The following is a 24,750-nucleotide window of genomic DNA, read 5'->3' as shown; positions in this document are numbered from 1 at the left end:
AGAAACTTACACATGAATGTTTATAACAGTATTATTCAGAATATTCAAAAGGTGGAAACAACCCAAATGCTTGTCAATACGCAAATGGATAAACAAAATGTGGCATACAATGGAATATTATTTGACTCTAAAAACTCATGAACAAACTTCTGGTTTCTGGTTCTAACCTGAACCTGATTCCCAGGTTCTAACCAGAAACTGGTTTCCAGGTTCTAACAGTGGAGATAGAGAAAAAACCCCTCATGCTTCTGGCAGGGGGAGGAGAAAAGGAACTGTTTTGGAGTATGCAGAGCACTCTGTTCTTCTTAATAAGACCTGCCCTGAAAAGAAACTATTTTACCAGAGCCTAACCAACCTAGGTGTAGAGAAATGCCCAACTCCAGCCCCCTCTATGGCACTATGGCGGGGGAAGTTTGGCAGGGTTACTGGGAAGCATTTGTGAAGTTCACAGCCCAGGGACCCAGGCTCACTAAAAGACCAATGCTGAATCATACATGGTACTATAGAATGCTTTCTCTCCCCTCCACACCATACTATCACATTACTAAAGGCCTATTTACTGCAGTTCCTTGTACCCAGTACATTATCTCTAGCTTTCAAAAATTGCAAGGCATACTAAAAGACAAAAAACAAAACAAAACAAAACAAAAACATAGTTTGAAGGGAAAGAGCAAACATCAAAACCAGACTCAAATATGGCAAGAATGTCAGAATTATCAGCCTGGAAATTTAAGACAATTATGATTAATATACTAAGGGCTCTAATGGAAAAAGTAGACAACACACAAGAATATGTGGATAACGTAATCAGAGAGACGGAAGTTCTAGGAAAGAATAAAAAAGAAATGATACAGAGCAAAATACTGTGACAGAAGTGAAGAATGCTTTTGATGGGCTCATTAGTAGACCGGACATGGCTAAGCAGAGTCTCTGAGCTTGAGGATGTGTCAATAGAAACTTTCAAAATTGAAGAGCAAAGGCAAAGAAGACTGAAAAAAATGGAATAGAATATCAAAGGATGGTAGGACAACTATCAATGTAACATGTGCATGATGTGCATGACGGGAATAGCAGAAGGAGAAGAAAGGAAGGAACGGAAGAAATATTTGAGGCAATAATGACTGTGAATTTCCTTAAATTAATGTCGGACACCAAACTACAGATCCAGGGAGTTCCAAGTACACCAGGCAGAATACATGCCAAAAAGAATACACCTAGGCATATCATATTGAAACTGCAGAAAGCCAAAGATAAATAAATCTTAAAAGAAGCCAGAAGAAAAATGAAGTATTGATATGTGCTACAACATAGATGAACCTTGAAAACGCACTTAGTGAAATAAGTTAGTTACACAAGACCACATATTATATGACTTCATTCATTTGAAGGTCCGGAGCAGGAAAGTTTATAGAGACAGAAAGTAGATTAGTGGTGACTTACGGCTGGGGGGAGAAAGATGCAGTGATAGGGGACTGGTAGCTATAGGGTATAGGATTTCTTTTTGAGGTGAAAATGTTCTAAAACTGACTGTAGTGATGATAGCATATATCTGTGAATATACTAACAACCACTAAATTGTATATTTCAAATGGATGAATTATATGGTAAGAGAACTATATATCAAAAAGGCTATTAAGTTTTTTAATGTGAAAGTAGTTGGTCTCAGAGTTCACATTGCCTAGTTCTTTGTCTACCCACAGAGGCCTGTAACTCTTACCCAGTTTGAACCCTTGCTTGAATTTTGCGTTTCTTTGACTTTTAGGATGTGTCGAATTCTAAAGACCTTTGGCTCTGATGAAGGCCTTAGATTTGCAAATGTATTTTCTATCTGACCTGATGAAATCTTGCATTCTTTTATAGTCTTAGGACCACCCAGCCCTTAGGGATATTTAAAATGATATCCAAAGAATTCTGGAGACCTCTTCTAGCTTGTCATCACCACATGCAAGACCTTTCTACTGCCAATTGTGATACTGGTGAGGGTATGACTATTCCTAGCATGTTTTTCTATGGCTGAATAATTTATAAATAATAAAAAGTCTCTGAATCACCAATTTGCCAAATTTATAAAATTTACTAAAATTACTTGAAATTTGATGATTTTGCCTAGCATAAAGTTTATGTAAATTAATCACGGGGATGATGATTTATCAGAGATGTTTTTTATAGCTTAACAGGAGAGTTAAATTTGTCAAAAGCTAGAGATCATAAAACTATTCAGTCTTACGAATAATATTTAATATTCAGAAAAGGAACCAAAATTTTCAGCAATTCATAATAAATCAGTACATAGATACAGGTAACTGCAGGATTTATGACTTTTAATTTACACAGGAAATTTGTAGTTCATACTGTTATGAACTGAACTGTGTCTCCACCAAATCTGTATGTTGACGCTCCAATCCCCAAGGTGACTGTATTTGAAGACAGGGCCTTTAAGAAGGTAATTAAGGTTAGATGAGCTCAAAAGGATGGGGGGCTCTAATTTACTAGAACTGGAATCCTTACAAGATGTTGAAGACACATCAGAAATGCTCACACAGAGAGGAAAGACCACGTAAGGAGACAGAGAAAGCAGACCATTCACAAGGCTGCATGGGAGGTGTCACCAGGAACCAACCCTGCTGGCACCTTGAACTTGGACTTCCAGCCTCCAGGAACTACAAGAAAATAAATTGTTGTTTGAGCCACCCAGTCTGTAGTATTCTCTTATGGCATCCTAAGCAGACTAATACACTACCAATTTTTCAAAATGATTTTTATGCCATTTTCTGTTTCAACAGACAAAGAGTCTGTTGAAAATGCTAAAGAAGCATTTTTTAAGATTATTTCACCAATTTCCCAAGTGGTATAGCAACTTCAACTTATTGTTTTTAATAAGTTAGAGGCCAGAATTTAATTTGCAATATGGTAGCTCCTGTATCTTTCTAGTTATTTTACATTTGTGTCTTTATTCATCTTATTGCATTCCTCAGGGATTTGCAACAATTTTACTCTTTCTTGCATAATTCTTTATGGCTAATGTATTTCAAATTTGAAGTTCTATTTACAGTAGGTATGGTAATCCCTTCTCAGAATCTTCATTTCACTGCTGCATGTAGAACATGCTATCAAGAAGACATAGCCCCGGTTAGAAAGCAAGATTTCAGCAAATTGTGTGGCTGAACTGTTCAATAGTTATCAAAGTGTTGGTTTTAGTTCAGCTTTAGTTCTGCTGTATTCTTTTCACTCTAGTCATTTGTAGTGGACTTGTCAGTTCAGTAAAATGTTAAGTTCATGTGCATTTACTATTTGAGACATTGGGCACTTCTCAAATGTTTAAAATGTGTACAAATGTTCATATTGAATTGGGTTGATTAATTGGTAAATTAAGAAAGTGCAGAAGGCTGGACTAAAAATATGTTGGAAAAAAACCCATCCCATTGTTTATATATCATAAGACATTCAATACATTTGTAGTTGAAAATATTTACTTTAAAATTTTTGATTTCCCAAAGTCAGAGTATGATAAAACCTGTGATAGTCTAGCTTGGCTAACCACTGGGCTGCAGAAAACTGAAGCTCAATGAAAGCTTCAAGAAAAGAGTCCCTATGAGTGTTGCAACTATCTCATGCATCATCGTTACTGATTATATTAGACAACATTAATGGAAGCAATGTGATTTTCAGCAAATTACTCATTCAACAAATGGATTTTCCAGCAAGTTGATTTTCTCCTCTCCCTTTTTGAATATATGTGTGCCACAAATACGCATCCATACAGAAGTTTTAGCAGTAAGGTAAATTCATTCAGAAACTGAGTTTTTTACAACATGTTATTTCCATAGTTGAAACAGAGGAAACAACCTCTCTATCAACTAAGATGATACATTTGCCATCTGAAGAGACAACTATCAAGTTTGCAAAGTTTTTACGCTTAACTGAGGTTACTAGTGACAAATTTAATCTCATTGGAAATCTTTTTGGTGTTCTATCCTAACTAGAAAGATGGCTTTATTCAGCTGGACATTTTAAAGCACTTAAGAAAACGGCTACTTGACATTTAACATTTTTCCCTCTTGAAAACAAATTTATCTTTATAAGAGTTTGAAGTGATAAATATACTGAATGTAAATGAATACTTCACATGGTTATCCACCCTGCTCCATTAATGTGTAATAAATAGATGTTTTAAATATTTGCTCCTAAAGGTCTCTTCTTGAACTTAAGCATAAGTTATCTAAACAGTTGAAAAAAGATTTATAATTATGAAGAGGCCTATATGTCAAGGAAAGTTTTATGATATGTTCTATAATAAATTAGCAATAAATGGATACAGGTGACTGTGGAATTTATGACCTTTAATGCTTTAATACTGCACTAAAGAAAAACTAATTATTAAGGTCCTAAAGGGTAATAAAAGAATACCATATACAAATTGTCAAATTAAGCCATTAGTGCTAGGTATTTGAGGTGGGTGCTTTTTATTGTGGCTCAGCTGGAGAGGTAGATGCAAATAAATGCAAGAAAACTCAATGCTATTGAGTAGTAGAAAAGTAACAACAGTCAGGTTTTCCAGCTGAAACTAAAGGATTCCTTCTCCATTTTTTTTTCTGCTGCTTAAAAATAATCATTCAGCACTTTAGTGAAGTGCTATTTTTACTGCAAAAAAGAATAATTTTATTAGATTCTCACTTGGCATTTGAGTATTTTCTCCCAAGTGCCCATGAAGATGCTTGAATACAAGAGGTCCCAGCAAAAGTTATGTGACAAAAAAATCAAATTTAAGTTACTTGCAGGTTTTAGAACTGTCCTTTCTGTAAGAAATTGCAATTAAAGCACTAGTTGTAGTGAGGCATCTCCACTTTCATCTTTAGTTTTTCATAAGAAAAAAAAAAGAACTCACCCGTTTATTCCTAATTTGAACCTCACCAGGAGGTAGATGAGTTTATTTCCTAGAGGGAAGAGGCTATTGTGAAAGTCAGCCTCTGAAGTGATCTTCCAGTTTCCAGTCTTTCACCCTTCTAATCCATTCTCCACACTAACTCCAGAATGGTCTTTATTGTCTTTATTTTTAGGGGAAAAATGTGATTATATCACATCCCTACTTAAAATCTTTTGATGGTCTCCAACTGCTTAGCCCCAACTCCTTGGCAAGGCGTTTGTTGCCCTTTGTGATCCAGCTCCCACCTATCTCTCCAGCCACATTCCCTCCCATAACCCTCTGTTCTGATGCAGGAGACCACTGGCCATGCTTGCAGGGCATGCTCCTGACTCCCAGTGTTTATAGCCTTTGTTTCTGCTGCTTAAACGCCCTTTCTCCTGATTCTCCCTTTTCTTCCAAGGAACAGCTCAGATGTCACTTCATGTGTAAAAATTGTCCTGTCGCAATCAGTTGCTTTCTCAATGCTTCTGTAGCACTGCATCCCTTTCCTTACATGTGGTTCATTGTGTAGGTCTCTGTCTTGTTACTCAATTGAAAATCGTGGATGGCAGGGATTTCATTTTCCATCTTTTCATTCCTAGCTTCTAAGTTTATAGAGACATAATAGTGCCCAGTAAAGGTTTATTGGATAAAAAAGCTGGGGAAAGGGTATTAAAAGGGGGAAAGGTGATGGGAGATGGACTGTGAGCCTGAGAGATGGGTTGGTAAACCTTTCTTCCTCTTAGGTGGCCAGGCAGTCAGCATCATCACCAGAATCTTCAAATGTTAGAGTGGCTCTCTGTGGCTCAAAGCCTGCCTTCCACCTCTCAGAAAATCCCATCCACCACCTTCCGAGTTTAAATGAATATGTTTACGATGACTCTATTTGAATAAAATAAATGATTTAAAACATACAATGTAAAGAGGTACCTCAGCGAGTTTCTCTGTGGTGATGGAACAGCTCTGTATCAAATAATGATGATGGCTACATGAATCTGTCCACCTGGTTCTCTCCCACCCACTACTAGTCACATGCAAGAGACAGGAAGCTTTCCAACAGTTGGATATGCTACAAGCAGATCTTACCTACGATGGTTTAAAGAGGATAATTGTATCGAGTGAAAGATTAGACTAGCTCAGTGATTTTTAAAACATATAGACTCTGCTAGTACAATACGAAGATTTCAGATGTCTGCTGCAAAATGAGAAAAGAGGACAACAGAGTAAACTAGTCATTTTAAAGTTGATCTATCAATTTTAAGAAAAGATCAATCTTTTATCCTGACATTATGTCCTCTGAATTTTGTTTGTGCATGTTGAACTTCATTTATAAACCCTATTTTTGTTTTGCACTGCATTTTATGAAATAATGATGATAGTAAATGATTGTCTAAATTTACTTAGCAACATTTAAAACTGGCAATTCTAAGGCCCCTCCCCATTGTTTCTTATAATTCCACCAATTTCTGAAATCCAAAATCCATATTAAAGCATATTAACTATGCTTTAAAAATTCTAATAATTTTTCATTCACTTAGTCATCTATCCAGGGCCTATTATTTGCAAAGCACAGTCCTCAGCAGTATGGGATTCTGCCTTCTAATAACAGAAGATAAGACAGGTACAGAGTATGAAGCAAAGTAGAAAGTGAAAAGTGCTGTGTGAAGTTTGGAAAATGAGCTGGAAATTTATTCAGATACCTGCAAACATGGGTAAAGCTGGAAATGGTGAGGACCAAGATGTCAAGTGGCATGGGAGTCACTGGCTAGACCTTTCTATAGAAAAGAAGCCTCATATCAAAACTGACAAGAACGGAGGCTGGGAAAAGGCAATGATTATTAAGCTTGAAATAAACATGCACTATACTCAAGCAACTGCAAAGGGACACAGCCAGGAACCAGAATACATGTCTCAGGGGAGTCTGCAGAGCACGAAGGAAATAAAGTCATTTATCTTTGAGCAGTTTAGCAATCAAACTTTTTACCATGCTGAATCTGAAAAACTACTGAGTCTGACCAAATAATTATTTGATAATACATTTTTTAAAGCTGAATCCTTAGTCAATACCCTAAAAAAAAAAGTAGTACCTCATTGTATGGATTACATAAATGATGAGCAAAAGGAAAAAGTGAAGAAAGGGAAAGAACGACAATGTGAAATAAAAGACAATCACAGAAGTGACCACAGCAAATAGGGGGAAGGGGGAAGGCAGAGAAAGGATGGTGATGGAAGACTCAGAAATTCCTCCTGAACAGAAGGTTTTGTTTTCTCACTTTATATATATATTTATATATATATATATATATATATATATATATATATATATATATACACACATACATATACACACACACACATATATATATAAATACATATCTATATATAAATACATATATATTTATTATACTTTAAGTTCTACGGTACATGTGCACAATGTGTAGGTTTGTTACATATGTATACATGTGCCATGTTGGTGAGCTGCACCCATTAACTCATCATTTACATTAGGTATAGCTCCTAATGCTATCCCTCCCCCTCCCCCCACCCCACAACAGGCCCCAGTGTGTGATGTTCCCCTTCCTGTGTCCAAGTGTTCTTACTGTTCAATTCCCACCTATGAGTGAGAACATGTGGTGTTTGTTTTTTGTCCTTGCGATAGTTTGCTGAGAATGATGGTTTCCAGGTTCATCCATGTCCCTACAAAGGACATGAACTCATCATTTTTTATGGCTGCATAGTATTCCATGGTGTATATGTGCCACATTTTCTTAATCCAGTCTGTCATTGTTGGACATTTGGGTTGGTTCCAAGTCTTTGCTATTGTGAGTAGTGCTGCAGTAAACATATGTGTGCATGTGTCTTTATAGCAGCATGATTTATATTCCTTTGGGTATATACCCAGTAATGGGATGGCTGGGTCAAATGGTATTTCTAGTTCTAGATCCCTGAGGAATCACCACACTGTCTTCCACAATGGTTGAACTAGTTTACAGTCCCACCAACAGTGTAAAAGTGTTCCTATTTCTCCACATCCTCTCCAGCACCTGTTGTTTCCTGACTTTTTAATGATTGCCATTCTAACTGGTATGAGATGGTATCTCATTGTGGTTTTGATTTGCATTTCTCTGATGGCCAGTGATGATGAGCATTTTTTCATGTGTCTGTTGGCTGCATATATGTCTTCTTTTGAGAAGTGTCTGTTCATATCCTTTGCCCACTTGTTGATGGGGTTGTTTGTTTTTTTCTTGTAAATTTGTTTGAGTTCTTTGTAGATTCTTGATATTAGCCCTTTGTCAGATGAGTAGATTGCAAAAATTTTCTCCCGTTCTGTAGGTTGCCTGTTCACTCTGATGGTAGTTTCTTTTGCTGTGCAGAAGCTCTTTAGTTTAATTAGATCCCATTTGTCAATTTTGGCTTTTGCTGCCATTGCTTTTGGTGTTTTAGACATGAAGTCCTTGCTCATGCCTATGTCCTGAATGGTATTGCCTAGGTTTTCTTCTAGGGTTTTTATGGTTTTAGGTCTAACATTTAAGTCTTTAATCCATCTTGAATTAATTTTTGCATAAGGTGTAAGGAAGGGATCCAGTTTCAGCTTTCTACATATGGCTAGCCAGTTTTCCCAGCACCATTTGTTAAATAGGGAATCCTTTCCCCATTTCTTCTTTTTGTCTTTCTTCACAGAATTGGAAAAACTACTTTAAAGTTCATATGGAACCAAAAAAGAGCCCGCATTGCCAAGTCAATCCTAAGCCAAAAGAACAAAGCTGGAGGCATCACGCTACCTGACTTCAAACTATACTACAAGGCTACAGTAACCAAAACAGCATGGTACTGGTACCAAAACAGAGATACAGACCAATGGAACAGAACAGAGCCCTCAGAAATAATACCACACATCTACAACTATCTGATCTTTGTTTTCTCACTTTTTAAAGTCACTTAGATCTTCATTTATGAAACATATAAGTAACTGTGTGTTTAAAAGCTCTAGAGTAGATGCTGTATTTGTTTCAGTGTCTGCACAGGTAAAATACCAATAACCAGACTCATAATTAATTATGCTAGGTGTTTTATGCAATATAGTTCTAGGAGTTTTAAAGCTTGATCTAATAGTTTTCCCCAGTTTCTAATGATTTTCTCTATTACAGTAATAATATAATAGTAAAATATTGAGACTACATTTTAAGAGCTAGAAAAACATGAGCATTTTCTGTATCATATAGTATTATATGTATTACTCCATAGCACATTTTTCTAACATGATTATAGTGCCAAAGAACTAATACTTCAATCTCTAGTCCATACTATTTTTGTTCCTAATGATGTCTATGTATATTTCAAATGTGGGTGCTATATTAGTTATCTATTGCTGTGTAACAAACTACTGCAGACTTAGCAGCTAAAACAATACACATTTACTACCTTAAAGCATCTGTGGTTCAGGGGTCTGTGCATAGCTTATCTGGATCCTCTGTTAAGAGTTTCACAAGGCTACAATCAAGGTATTGGCTAAGCTGCATTCTTATCTGGAGATCCGACTGAGGAAAAATCTGCTTCCAAGCTCCTTCAGATTGTTGGCAAAATTCATCCCCTTGTGGTTGCAGGACTGAGGCCCTCAGGTTGTAGAGGCCACCCACTGTTCCCTACCACATGGACCTCTCCATGGGCAGCTCATACCATTCCAGCTTATTTCTTCATGAGCAGCATGAGAGTGAGAGCTAGTGAGTTGGAGCCTTATATAATGTGATGTAATCATGGGAATGACAGCCCATCACCACTGTTGTGTCCTAATAGTTAGAAACAAGTCACAGGACCTGCCCACACTCAAAGGGAGGGAGTTATACAAGGGAGTGGACACCAAAAAGCAGAGTTCATTGGGGGTCACTTTAGGGTCTGTGTGCCACAGGTGCTAAAGTAAACTTTTCATATTTGGGGTACCTTTTCATATGCCAAAAATAGACATAATTTCCTCTAAATATATGAAGATAAAACTTAGACATAATTTTGGCCAAGCACAGTGGCTTATGCCTATAATTTGAGCACTTTGGGAAGCTGAGGTGTGAGGATCACTTGAGGCCAGGAGTTTGAGAGCAGCCTGGGCAACATAGTGAGACCTTGTCTCTACTAAAAATACAAAAATGAGCCAGCATGGTGGTGTGTGTTTGTAGTCCCAGCTACTCTGGAGGCTGAGGTGGGAGGATGGCTTGAGCCCAGGAGTTCAAGCTGAAAGTGAGTTGTGATGGCACCACTGCACTCCAGCCTAGGTGACAGAGTGAGACCCTATCTCTAAAAAAAAAAAAGAAGGATATAATTTAAGAGATGAAGGTGATAATGCGAAATAGCATTCTAAAGGGAGGGAAACATTTAAAATAAAGAGAAAAAAGTTATAAGTACTTTTTGTCAACTCAGAATAAAATAAATAAAATTCAAGCTTATGTTTTAAAATTATTTAAATAATAATTAATGTGGAACTGAATAAGTAAAATGAAAACTAATTAAATAATTTGTGAACTGAACGAATAGTTAGCTGGCTGCTTTATTGAAATTTTAAGTGCTAGCAATATTGTTACACGCTAAAACAGGATTCAGAAATAAAGCTCAAAAAAAAGCAACAGACTGGAAGAAAATATCTGCCACATATTTAACAGAGACTTAATATCCAAAATACGTAAAAAGTATCAACAAGTCACCAAAGAAAAAACAAACAACCCCAAAGAAAAATGTATAAAAAATGGAATAGGCAATTCAGGAAAAAACATAATTAGTAAATAAAGAAATAAACACACAATTGACCATATAATTAAGTAAATAAATATTAGAACAATAATGAAATATAAATCTCCACTTCCACAGCTAGAAAGATAAAACAAAAATGTTTATAATGTCAGGAGCTTTCAAGGATGTGAGAAAATAGGTATGCTTATATATTTAATGAAAAGATAAATAAGCTTTTTGGAAGGCAATTTAGTAAAACCTATAACACTTTAAAAAGGCTTACTATTTGACTCAGCAATTCCATTTCTGGGAAGCTATCCCAGAGAAACACTGTCACTTTTTTAAAAGTAATATACAAGAATATTCATTGTAGCACTTTTATAACAGTGAAACCCTGAAAATAAATGTAGTAAAATAGGAAACTGAAATATGACATAACCACGCTATGAAATTCTATGTAGCCAGTTTAAAAAAAACAAAAAAGGTGACGTGTTTAAAAAGAGCTCATGGCATATTGAGTGAAAAACAGGCTGAAGCACAACAGATAAATTATGATCTTATTTATGTAAACAATATATGTACAGGTTTGTAAACATATGTGTGAAATCCATAGAAAAGACTGAAAGAATGCACATCCAACTCTTGACTATCATTTCTTTGGCAAGACATAGGAGGGAGTCAGAGAGACTGTCATGCTGTGTGTGTGTGACTTGATTTGTTTGGCTCATGTGTGCTGAGAATGCACAATGAGAATAGAAATAAATGAAGTGGTATCATCTTTGTCTTTGCCATTCTAAATGGAAAAAGCACTTGAAAAATAAAAAAATTAACAAGTATTTTTAAAAAATCAACCACCTAAATTACTTTGTGCCCTTCCTTTCAACTAACTAACTGAGCTAATTTTCTGGCTTATGATAAATGTAAAAAAACATTCAAAATTAACAAGAAACTTCTCTCTCTCTCTATCTATCAATCAATCATCAATCTAACAATTCTCTAACCCTGCTATTTATACACCCTATTTGTTCTTGATAGTTTATGCTAGTTCATTCTGGTCCTAAAATGTTTACCTTTTCCCTCTCAGAAGGTTTATTTTCCAAAATTCATGACATAACAAGAAATAGAAGACCTACGTCAATATAGCTGAGGATTTTAGCATCATCTGGAAAACCTTTCTAGCCTATGTTCAGCTTCGCCATATAAAAGTTGCCAGTAGCTCTATTTTCTTAGCAAAATGATAACAAGCTGTAAAGGGTTTACCACACAATTCTGATTTATTTTGTCACAGTGAAGGACTTTTTAATGCTATCTTGTGTCACTTTTTGCTGATATGAGTGTTACAGTAGTCAGTGCATTTTATTATAATACAAGTTTTATGGAAAGCAGCAAGTATCTTTTTTTTAAAAAAAAAGGTTAATCATACTTCTTTTACATCAAAAAAGCAAACAAAAGAGCTTAAAAATTTAACCAAAAATTAAAAGCATATGGTATGGGGTCTTTGCATTGGATTGGGTAAATGTATATATAAATTATACTTCGACCTGAAGGGTCTCCTTGCCCATTTTTATTTTATGATTACCTCAAGTCAATGTGGTGCTGTGTAAAAGCTCACCTATGCTGTAGTCATTCCATAAACTCCATGAAATAAAACACATCTTTCTGGCTCAATGAAGTTCAGAAAGCTTGGGTCTTCACTCCTATAAATGTATCATATTCCATTTACTGGCTAATAAAGTCTCCAAGAACAAGATTGCCGTTCTTTTCACAACTTGATCCTTTACAAATTTACAAATGTAATGCTTTAACCTACTTGAACTCAACTCTGGTTTACTGAGGAAGATGGAACCAAGGGAGGGTGTCTGTTCCCAGTTAGCAGGGCTCCAGCAGCCAGACCAGGAGGGGCAGCGTCATGCTTGAGGGGTGTGCCTGGCCTCTGCTAGAGGTTTGTGTAGCCTGAGTTAATGAGGTTAACGAACCAAGGTCAAAACAAGAAGACAAAAGGAGAAAGTGGGCACTGAGAAGGCACAAAACAGGGACCTGGTACCAGAAGGCTAGGTCACGAGGTAAGGGCGAGATCTGTTATCAGGCTGGAAGCCAACTCCCTGAAAACCAAACAGAGATAAGAGCTGAAGGACAGGTAACATTCTTTAGACACTAGGTGTTTGTTCTTTCTTAGGCATCAAATGGTTAGAGGAAATTTCTCTGCAGAGCTTCTGTATTTAAACATTCTTAGCCATCCCACCTGAGGAGGTTGTGACAGTCAAGTGGCCTAGAGGTTCTGCAATAACAAGTTCTTGCTCACTCAAAGCCCATTCAGGGAAATTCATTTTAATTTATTTCCTTAAAGGATATAGTTTAGACATAGAAGCTCCAAAGGTGGTATAAATATGTAAGGAAAAACTATAACAACTTTGTAGGCAGTAACTTGAATGTGACGTTGAATAAAAGTTTTTTTAATCAAACAATAAAATGTTTTGTCTACATAACTCAGAGCGTTCTGAACTAGGAAAAGCAAAATAAGTTTGTGTAGGAAGGAGAGGGTGGGTGGAGAAAAGACTAAAGAAAAGAGAAGACTTAAGAGGTAGTAGGGAGGAGGGGTGAGGGGTCCCCTCTGAGCAGCAGGGCTGCACACTTCACTCACAAGGTAGAAGAATCTATTCCCATTGCAGGCTCAAAGGTTTGAAAATTATCCTCGTGCAAAGCTGGATATTTTATGAATGTCCTGGATGTTTGACATTGAGTCTATTAACTTAGTCGAATGGATAAAGTTGTTTGCTAAATAATTCAGAGAATTGCTTTAGTTTCAGTGACAACCACAAAAATACCAAGCATACATGATCTAGGTAATTTCAAATCAAGGCATTTGTGCCTAGAGTAATTGCCTCGTTTTCCATTTCACTCTGCTAGTTGATCTTCACTGGAAGCATAGAACAGATGGCTTTTCGAGTCTGAAATGTGTATATCCCTTTTGTATCGACGTATTTACCAGGGACGACACACTGACTACTAGTGGTTAAAGCCACCTCTACCTGCTTCTCTGCCTTCCCAAAGAAAACACAGACCATGATCCCCACCCAACTGGTGACAGTAGAGTCTGTCACTGTTTCCTGAATCGTCTAAACCACTGAAAGCACTCAGTGACCACTGGCCACCTGTGCTCAGTTCCACCATCTTAAAACAATTTAGAATCTTATTGAAAGCGAATCATTTTAATCAAAATGGTGGTAGCTCTGGCTCTCCTTAGATGAATGTGGGAACCTAAGGAAATAACATTGTGTAAGGTCCCCACTTGCTAATATTTTTATCCAACTGAAAAATCAAGTTACATGACCCTTTGTGGTAGCGCTAAAGAATAAGAGAAGGGCAGTCTGAAGGTGGCCTGTGGAGGTCAGGAAGGTTATAGAGAACGTTCTCAGGAAAACAAATGCCCTCCACCTTTCTCCACTTCTATTCCATACCCTGTGATATAAGAGATGAATTTTTTTTTTAAATAAAAACATATATGAGGACAATCTCCACTATTTCCTGAGTCACTGTCTTTGTTTTTACGGTCAGGGGATTGAAACAACCATCTTTAACACATAGAACTGAAATGCCAATTGTTCTGTTTCTGTAGTCTTATCTTTATTTCTGATGCAGTTGAGACACTGCTATATACATACACACACACACACACACACACACACACACACACACATACATATAAATATGAAAATAAGAGAAAAACTTCACAGTGAAAAACGTGTTTGCAGTGGTAATATGCTTGCCTGAACATTTTGGGAAATATTTGCTTATTCTTCACAACAAATATTTGGCAGAGCAACTGTGCCTTAAATAGTAGCTAAAATTCTGTAGTGGAGACATTGTTACTGGAGGACTGGCAAATATTCAGTCCAGTTAAATGGAGTATTTGGGCCTCTACTCTGTGCTTAGCATTTCTAAGTGCTGGGAGATACAAAAGAAGTGTAAGAAGCACTTCCAGCTTTTCTCAATATTTTTGAAAAGAAGAGACAAAGAACTATGGAAGAGAGTATGTAATTAAGTACCAACATGCTTCATGCCAAGGGCATGTTTTTGTTTTAAGCCCTTAACAGAAAAATAAATTGTATCAAAGCTCTGCTAAGAAAAAAGGTTAAGTTTTCCTTGGAGTAGTGGGTGTGGGGGGAGATGAGAAGGGAAGACTTTAAAGTTAGATCGTACCAACACAGGTAATCAACGGGGCAGCAAATATCTCATCCAGATTATCCTTACACAGAGCTGAGTTTGAATTCTGACTCCTCCACTCATTCATTTTGTGATCTTGGACAATTTTTTAACTTCTTTGAGCTTCCAATTCCAAATAAAGGTAATAATGTAATTTATTTATCTCAAAGCCTCAGTGAAGTGGGGGTATAAATGTAAAAGAGCTTTATTTTTGTCCAATCACCACTTTTAGCACTGATTTGGGCAAATCTGCTGTTCTCATTTGAGAGCTAAAATTCTTATCATTTCTTGTCCCTGTGTTAAAACAGTACTGAGATCAGGAATAATTCTCTCTCCCTGTGTTCAACAATACTGAGACCAAGCAAAATAACATGGCTGCTTGATCTAGAAGAGGACTGTTCTGAAAGAGAGTACTATAAACCAGTTCTAGAAGGTGAGCTGTCAACTAAACAGTTTACAGATTAAGACTAGCAACTTCCTCAGAGGATTCACTTCAAGCCCCTAACCTTGCTTTAAACTGATCAAAGCTATTATGTCACACTGCCCAAGCTCATCCAGTTACTCCCACCCCTGCCTTGCAATATCTACCTTAAAACAACCAACCAAGGTCCCAGCACCTTTTCCTCATTCCCTCACTTTAAGGTACCACTAAGACTCTGCAGATCTAATAAACTTCTTTTCACTTGATCTACAGATTTTTCTGTTTTTTCTTTAAGAGGGTTTATGGTAGACACATCCCTTAACAATATCTTCAACAGGTTTCATAATATTCTGAGCACACTGGAATTAAAACACATACATATCTGTTCAGGCTTACAAAGTTCAATTTATATCCTCTCGAAAGCACTCGCCCAATCTTACTTCACCCTCGATGGGTGGCTCAAGGAACTTGGAATGGGGAGGTAGCGTGGTCTTCTCTTTAAATGGGAGTGGGACAGGAGGTGGAGGGGATATTTGGTTTGAGATGACCCTACTTCCTTTGGAGACCTAACACTTCCAGGGAAAAGGGATCTTCTTGGGTAACTGGTTACTTAATTGTCAGCAGTGTGGAGGGCTGCTTTTTCATTTGGCTGCTCTGGCTGGTTCCATATGTTCTTAGGTCATAGTGAGCATCATGCTGGCCTCTCCATCACTGATGGCTCACTCCTTTTTTTTTTTTTTTTTGAGATGAAGTGTTGCCCTGTCGCCCAGGCTGAAGTGCAGTGGCATGATCTTGGCTAACTGCAACCTCCCCCTCCCAGGATCAAGTGATTCTTCTCCTTCAGTCTCCTAAGTAGCTGGGATTACAGGCACCCGCCCCATGCCCAGCTAATTTTTCTATTTTTTTTTTTTTTTTTTTTTTAGTAGAGATGGGTTTCACCATGTTGGCCAGGCTGATCTCAAACTCCTGACCTCAAGTGATCCGCCTGCCTGGGCCTCCCAAAGTGCTGGGATTACAGATGGCCACCACGCTCAACCTGATGTCTCACTCCTAAGGGATCACCCTCTCCATCAGTTCTTGCCTCTGAAACCTTTTCTTGGTGCAATGTTGCCCCACTCTGCCCCCTCTTATAAACTCTGTGCTCCTTTCTATGGAGCCACAGGAACTACTGAGGAAATGAGACTAATAACGGAACATTGTAGTGAGAATTAAACACACTACTAATATATGTGGCACACAGGCAATAACTAGTAATCTTCTGTCTTCCCTATTACATGCAATGCACTATGTTAGTGATGGTACCTTTGTAGTTAGGAATGAAAATATGAGTATTTTTTTTAAGTATATAAGAAAAGGTTCACAAACATTTATACTTTAAAACCAAAATCTAACGTACTATGATTTCATTAAACTACAAACAAATGTGGATTTACCATCAAGTCTTTTAAAATTCTAGTCAAGACCAATAAGGAACAAAACATTGATGCCACAGTGACAATTCATTTTGACTGTTTTTGTTGTTGTTGCTTCTACTTTTTGTTGTTGCTGTTGTTGTTTCTTCTTAATAATAAAATAATTTTTAATTCAGCATCTGAAAAGTAGATGCTTCATTATTGATGAAACTAGGCTCCATTCAAGGTGTGAAATTAATATGTACCCACACAAAAGTGGGACATTTCTCTTAACATTTTCCGTGACATGTCTTAAAGACTATTGCCATTTAGGGAGATTCAAAAGAGCAGAGTGAGAAATATTTATAGCATATGAGTGTAATAAAAAAAGTTTAGTCATGAACTACCAATACACCAAACTGGCAGGACAGAGTTTACATTAGATCACAGGAATGAATATCAAAAATACAGGCATTATCTTTGAAAAAACAACCAGCAGTGAAAAATTTATTTATAACATAAACCAGACACTCCAAAATAATTTGTGGTTTACTTAATTCTTACTGTTCATCCTATATTCTTTTGAATAAGCTGAAGGAAGGCACCCAAGTAACTACCTCAGCTGTTTTTGATTTTGATTCTGAATTTTCCATGAGATGAAAACTCTAGTCTATGTAACAAAAAAAGATGGCATGTCATTTTTTTAAGTTAGATTTTTTCCCTCAGTGTAGATACATATTAAAAAGAAATGTATTACAATAAATTACTATATTTCCAAATTTTCTCATTATTTTTGGGCAAACAATAATTGCATACAAATTCTGAGTAAAGGAATATCACATTGCATCTTATGTGTTCTGCAATATGCACTCATAGAAAATCATTATAGTAACAAAACCAGCTGCATGTAATAGAAAGCAAATGATTTACAATGTTACTGTGAGAAACTACTTTATTTCATATTATCATAAAAAGAACAGAGCTGAATGTTTGCATGACAAACAGAAAAACCCAGAAATTCCAAATGCAACTCAGTTTTTTTAATTTAAATAGGTATTAATGTGGAAGGTGATTTGAAAAGCCTTCCACTCCAGAGAATATTAGCAATTATAATTTACAAAGTCATTATTAGTCCAACAATTTAAAGAAAAAAATCTACAAACATTAATATAGAAAAAATGGAGTGATATGTGCTTCTATCATACAGCATCTGTGTTATAAGAGCTTATACTTAGTGATTTTGAACACTATATTTCATTTAAACTGAGTAGAATGTATTTTTGTTCTTAAATGAAGATTGACCCTGAAATTTGAACCACATCAGAAGCTTTCAATGACTATGTTTTAATATGTTTTATATGTCAGTCATCACATCTGCCTACCACAGCTCCATTCACGTGAACTGGTCCCGCCCACATCCCTAAGTAAAGGGAAATCCTATGCAGATCTCAGAGCCCTAGCTCTCTCCCTCCACCCAACCACAGGTCACGGAGCCAGAGCTGCTATGATATGTCCTGCCTCAAGAAAAGCTGATGCTTCCTCTCAACCATGGAAGTTAAGGCTAAAAGCTGTAAGTCAGTGCCACAAGAAATCCTGGCAAGAAGAAGGAGCATTACGAGGAGGAAGCAGAACAGGAGTAGGCAGGGGCTGGGAGGGAGAGCCAAAATACAGAGCACTAGGTGACAGTGAGGAGATGGAGACATAGGGAGAAGGAGCGAGGCACGTCAGGAGTGGATTACCTGTATAAGCCGTGAATTCCTGCTGCCAAGACCCCTCAAACTCCCGCTAAACTCCAGGACACCTAGGCCAGGACTGACTCCTAGGCTTAAATATCCATGAAATTCCATACCTCTAATTTGCTCCACATATATCAATATAACAAAACCATTCTAAACAAATTAACTGGTATGAGTCTCAGGTTCCTGCAGCCAAAGAATATATAAATTATATACATACATATAAAATTCAACATATTAACTATATATGCCTATAACATAATTAGTATATATTGTTTGTGATTATGTTATATATTTATGAATTATATTTATAATAGTACACAATGTATACCACAATGTATTTATGTTTCTAAGAAGTTTACAATACTAAACATAGAAATTACATATAGTATGTTAATATTACATATTATGTGTATAAAATTGTAGGTTACTATATATATCACAAAACCAGAGAAAAGTTCCAAGACTCAAATATTTATGCCTGAAGTCCCAGCTTCAAATCCCTTGTTACAGCTAGTAAACTAAGAGTGCTCTTTAGCGATCATGCTTTTTGGAGAAGCAGCTCATTCAAGTTATCTAATAAATTTTATAGTGGATGCACTGAATGAATAGAAAATATATTTTAAATATAATTGAAAAAAATACATTAAATAAGCATAGTAAGCCAGCTTTGGGGTTAAGTCTTTACTACTTATCACCATGAATCATAATGACACTAAACTATAATATACAAAATATTACAATAGAACAGGCCATCAATCCAAACCTTGGAGTTCTCCTAAGATGTCCTGCTTTATAAATGTAAACACTCATTTTACCTAATCCATAAAAAAATAAGCAACAAACTGTGTGAGGTGCTGCTAATTGGCCAAATAAGATATGGACTGTGACAATGTGTAGCCGTAGAGGGGTGACGACAAAAATCTGATTGATGTATGTTCGAGAGAAAAAGAGCAGAAAGAGAAAGTAAATATGAACAAGTTTTTCATTCAATAAGTTTTGCTCTAAAAAGAAACAGAAAGGTAGCTGGAGGAGGTACAGGGGTGTATGTGCAAGTTAAGTTTTTTTTTTAATATGAGAAATACTAGATAATATTTGTATGTTGATGACATTGATCCAGTAGAGAAGAAAACAACTGAGGATACAGGAGGGAGAAAGGATAATGGCAGATGCAAAATCCTTGAGAAGACAAGAAGAGATGAAGTCCATTACCTGAGTCCTCAGATGGGAACAAAGATGGGTGATCTATTGTAACAGGAGAGGAGAGGTAGGGCAAGTAGTGGGGCACCTTCATGAACTATATTTTTATTAGTTCATCTCAAATTTGCATTAATTTTACAAGCTGCTACACCACAAAATCAATGTCTACTGCAGTGAGAATCAACCAAGATCCTGTATCTCTTCCCTGTATGTTGTTGGTAGGTCACCCAACCAAAATGCTCTTAATTTTTAAGACCAAGTTCACTAAGGACATCACTTCAGCTTTATGTTAATGCATTTGGAATATTTAGTCCTAATGTACCACCACAAGCTAATCATATAGGGGACCCAAGACCATCTCATCACGTCATAGAAGGCTCCTCAAACCCTTGGGCTCTGGCCATGACCTCACTTTGCTTACAATGTATGTAGCAGGTACAGTATTTCAGTCCATATACTCAGATGATAGGCAAGAACTGTAACTCTATTTCCCTGTTACTCAACATAATCTCTATTTTGATTCCCCTAGTTCTACTCTTGTCAAAATGTATCCAGAAAATGTCATATCTGCATAAATTCAGGTTTTTAAACTCAGGTAAAATTTCCATCTCCCTATCCTTCTCCCTGAGACCAAAACTAAGTTCTTAACGCTGGACTGAAATTGAGGCCCCAGGGAGAAGCCCAGGAAGGTCTATGGCTGTCAGCATTGACTCCTATTAGCAAGTCATATGAAGTAATAGGTGTAGGTCCTATCATGGCCAGTCCCTGGTTCTTTATCCATGTATATTCTGAATTTTCCCAATCCCGACCTGGAGGACCCTAGTTTATCAGCCCTCTCTCAGTCACTTTCTCACCTTTCAGGGGGAAATGAAATTTTTAGAGGTTCTCAGGTACCTCTCGGATGGAAGGAGGCTCAGGGAGTTGCCTGTAACAAGACCGTCTTGGCCTTGAGTCCCCCTGCTCTGCTATTCTACTGCTACTGTTGCTGCTCCAAGCCAATGTGGTGCATGGGATTAGGGAGCTCTAGGAGTTTGCTTACTTTCAAGGTCCTTCTTGAGAAACAAGATGCAAGTGACAATTACTTTTAGATGCCAAAATTTATCTGGATGGTCTATCATCCATTTGCCCAGCTCCCATGCTCAACAAGTGGGGAGGCGAGTGGAAAGGTCTTGGAGACATTCCACCTGTCCAACTATCTTGATCTTCTTTACAAGCTCCCTATTCTTCACTTCGTCCAGTGAAATCCTTGTATAGTGTAGGTCTTTCATTAATTGCATTCTTCCCCAATTTTTTCTTTACTGCATAAATTTTGGCTTTTGTTATATCTTCCCCTATTGTCTACTTTGAAATGGAAAAGCGGAGAAGTGACTCTGTTGCATGCCTTGGCCTCACTTCTCTGGAGCAGTTAGTCTAGCTCTCCTAGCTACTGCCTGAAACTAGGCGGAAGGTCATAAGGAGGCCAGCAATTACTAGGAATAAGAACAACATAAGTTATTATCAAGATATTATCAACCTTGCAACCACATGAGCTTGTTAAGGCATGTTTTTCCAAGAAGGCACTAGGTTTGCCATTGCACAATACATTTAAATTTAGTCTGTTTTATTAATACAGTATATTGTCCTGTAATAATCAATTTGACTCATCACATAATTTATCTGCATATATTTATCTTCTTAACTATCAAATTTTTATTTATCCTTCACATGTTCCTTAGCTTATAAAGTTGAGTTGGATTTAACATAATTTGAATGATGGTAAATTAGAATTCTCTTGCTTTTAAATGTTCCACTGTTATTTTAAGCAACCTTTGATGCTAGAAGAAAAAAGTGTGCATGCTAATAGGTATACATTTAATAGATACAAGACTAAAACCATAATAAAATTTCATATTTGTAAAATTCTTTACAGTTTACAGAACGATTCTACGTGCATTATTGTGTTTTATTCTCTAGCAAGTGTCTACTGTAGGTTGAGTTAGTGTGTAAGTCCTGATCTCCCGAATGAAAACTCAACATTTTTCCACAAGGAACAGACTATTAGCATTTTGACATTTGGTTATGAAGGCAGAAGAGTTCAGTGATATCCTAGGTCACCCTTTGTCCGTGCATAAAGTTTATTACTATATTTCAATTTCTCTGCAGTTTATGGAGGCCAAACACCACAGTATATGTTGCTGCTCATCGAGTATGTCATGCGGCACAAAATAGATCAATTATCTTTTGCTTGTCTCTGAGCTTTCACTGAAGCGGTGTTAGGACCTGGCATCATGTCAAGGATGCTCTGATAATGCTTAAAGCCAACTGAAGTACAAGAGTTGTCCAAAGGATATGAAGGATCTGTTTCTCAAGTGTCCTGATGTGAACAATGCCTAAAGAGAGTTCTCCCACAACCTCATCTCCTTTGTAACAGGATAGGAAAAAAAGTGGTAATGTGTGTATTGGCTGTTGCTTTATCTCTTTCAAATTAAATGAGATTGAGATGTTAATGAATGCAGTGTAAGGCATGTCATCAGCAAATGTCAGCTATTATTATTATTAAAATTGAGATAACAGAGTTAACATTAGAGTAGCAAATGGAAGTTAGAAAATATTGGTTAGCACCAAGGTGATAATATTGGGAGGCAGGGCCCCTGGCAGAGCCCTCTTGACTGGGATTAGCACTTTTATAAAAGAGACCCCAGAGAGCTGGCTCATTCCTTCTACCCTTGAGGACACAGTGCAAAGACTGTCATCTAGGAGGAAGAGGGCCCTCACTAGACAACCATTCTGCTGGTACTTTGGTCTTTGACTTCCCATCTCCAGACTTGTGAGAAATACATTTCTGTTGGAAGGAAGGAAGGAAGGAAGGAAGGAAAAGGAGGAGAAGGAGAAGGAGAAGAAGGAGGAGAAGGAGAAGAAGGGGAAGGGGAAGGGGAAGGGAAGGGAGGGGAAAGGGGAAAAGGGGAGGGGAAAGGAGGAGAGGGAGAGGAAAGGGAAGGAGAGTATGGATACACTGGTTAGCAGAATGTTTGTTGTAAGATTCACAGGACGTTATATTTTTGTTTTTAAATTTATCATAATTCTCTCTGAAGTGAAAATCTAGAATATTAAAATACTACCTGGTACATGATCTACTACATAAATTTCCAATTTTGCTACGTATAGGTATATAATGTAAGGAGTTATTTTTCTTCAACTCAAGGATCTGATTCATTTTTATAAAGTTGTTAAAATGATACCTAGAAAGTCATTATTGAATTTTAAAAGAAGGTTTGAAATACTATTAAGGGCTTATTCTATGTTACTTTTGTTTAGAAAAAGAGTATCCAATAACATTGAGTTTGGCTTGAAACAAAAATAACTCAGGGTCTCCATTGCTGGGTTACAGGGGCACCTGCCACAGCTCAGGATCCTTAATTATTTGGTGAGGAACAGTCCAGACCAATTGCTGTGTAGCCTTTGCCTTCAGATAGGAGGAAAGTAAGTACTTGGAAAAGAAGGGACACATCATCAAGCCAACAGCAACAAGCATCTTTTGAGCACTTCCTATGTGTCAGGCCCTCTCTGTACTTTTACCTGATTCCCCTATTTAATCTTCCCAACAACCCACTTTGCAGATGAGGAAACCTAAATTTGGAAGGTTTACACAATTTGCCCAAGGTCACACTGTTATTAGTGCCCGGGGACAAAAATCTACCACAGGGTGAATACTCAACAGTGTTCAGTGTCTCCATCCAAGGAACTTTGCAGCAAATCTTGTTTCAGAAAGCGTTACAAGCCCTTGATTCCTGAGGTGCCTAATTCAGAAGACTTCACTTTTACAAAGCTAGCTTGCTCAATTTTTTTTTCCAATGTCCAAGTGTAGACAGAAAGGAAAATGAAGACCATCAAAATTATAAAGGTGATCTGGGCAAAACCTACCTTAGAAATTCATGCAACACACTTCTTACTCGGAATAGGGTTCTTTGAAAAACTTCCTTAATTTTCCTGTGTTAAAAGAACATAGTTATGGGCACAAATTGCACAATCCATATACCTTCTCATCTTGCATAAACTTGATAAAAAAAACAGTAAAATGCATTTTCTCATTGATTTGAATCTATTGGGAAGCCATTCTGGATAACCCAAGATCCAAGTTTGGAGAGAGAAGAAATGTAAAATTCACTGTTTTCTGGAAGAGGACTTTAAGTTGCTCAAGGTCATATACAACATTAGTTTTTTAAGCCAGAAGATTTCTGTCCACTATACTACATAATTCCTGAAATGAGGTATCTCCTTTAGGTATACATTGCTAAGCAACATCTTATGCTCAGTTTTGGCTGTACAGATCAGCCATGATCATTCCAATAACCAGAAAATGATTATAATACATACTGGCAACAACCTATAGGTGCACTGAAGGTGACCTAACCCAGAATGTGTAAAAGATAAGCATACAGTTCTAAGCCCAAAGTGCTTTTATGATCAGATATCCAGATGGACTAAAACATTGTTCAGGTCAGTTGAAAGTTGCTTTAGGAGAAATGTTTAAAATCTGGCCCTGGAACAAGAAGAGTTGGATCTATCCTTCAAAATGTCATTTTCCCCCAGGCTTTATATCAAACACACAAAATATAACAAATAAAACAAAACACAACAAAAGCCCTTTACTTTTTTTAACATAGATCAAATAAGTAGAAAGGCAGAGAACAGTCGATCTCACATGGGGGAAAAAACCACCACCACAAAATGTTTTTGCCATCCGCCCACCGGTTTAATGCTCTCTAAATGAATGTATTTCCAGAAATATTATCCCAGAAATTTTATGGATTCCAGGCCGTCCTAGAAATATTATAATTTGAATACCCCGTTCTTTGTTTAAAAAATATCCCTGTCTTGGATTTTAATTGAACATAAAAAATTTAGCAGATGTTTACAAAGTACAAATATGATAAGTTTATATAACTCTGCTAATCATTGCCTTCAGGAATAATCAAAACTCTCCAGCCCTTATTAACCCGCACCTAAATCTGTAGAAGCAGCAATGTTCTGGAAGATTTCAGAAAGACTCATGATGATGAGACAATTGAAATTTGAAGACAAATACCAAAGTAGTCACAAAATCTTCTTCCAATAGCAATAATCTCTGCTTCTCAGTAAATATAACAAAAGGAGTTTGAGAATTCTGGATTTGGAAGGAGTCCCTGAGGCACAGACAGAATA

General features: G+C 36.9%; 1 long non-coding RNA gene across 3 annotated transcripts in view; it reads right to left on the bottom strand.

Moving 5' to 3' along the window:
* CASC2 (cancer susceptibility 2) overlaps positions 1 to 24,750 on the bottom strand; it is a 163,333-nt gene that overhangs the window by 134,488 nt on the left and 4,095 nt on the right. For all 3 annotated transcript variants that reach the window (NR_026939.1, NR_026940.1, NR_026941.1), the window contains exon 3: positions 23,470 to 23,535. This is a non-coding gene — a long non-coding RNA (cancer susceptibility 2). The remainder of the gene's footprint in view (positions 1 to 23,469; positions 23,536 to 24,750) is intronic.

The sequence above is a fragment of the Homo sapiens genome, chromosome 10 (genome assembly GCF_000001405.40).
Source record: "Homo sapiens chromosome 10, GRCh38.p14 Primary Assembly".
In the NCBI taxonomy this organism is placed as follows: Eukaryota; Metazoa; Chordata; class Mammalia; order Primates; family Hominidae; genus Homo; species Homo sapiens.
Note: the sequence above shows the minus strand (reverse complement) of the source record. Positions and strands in the feature narration are given on the sequence as shown.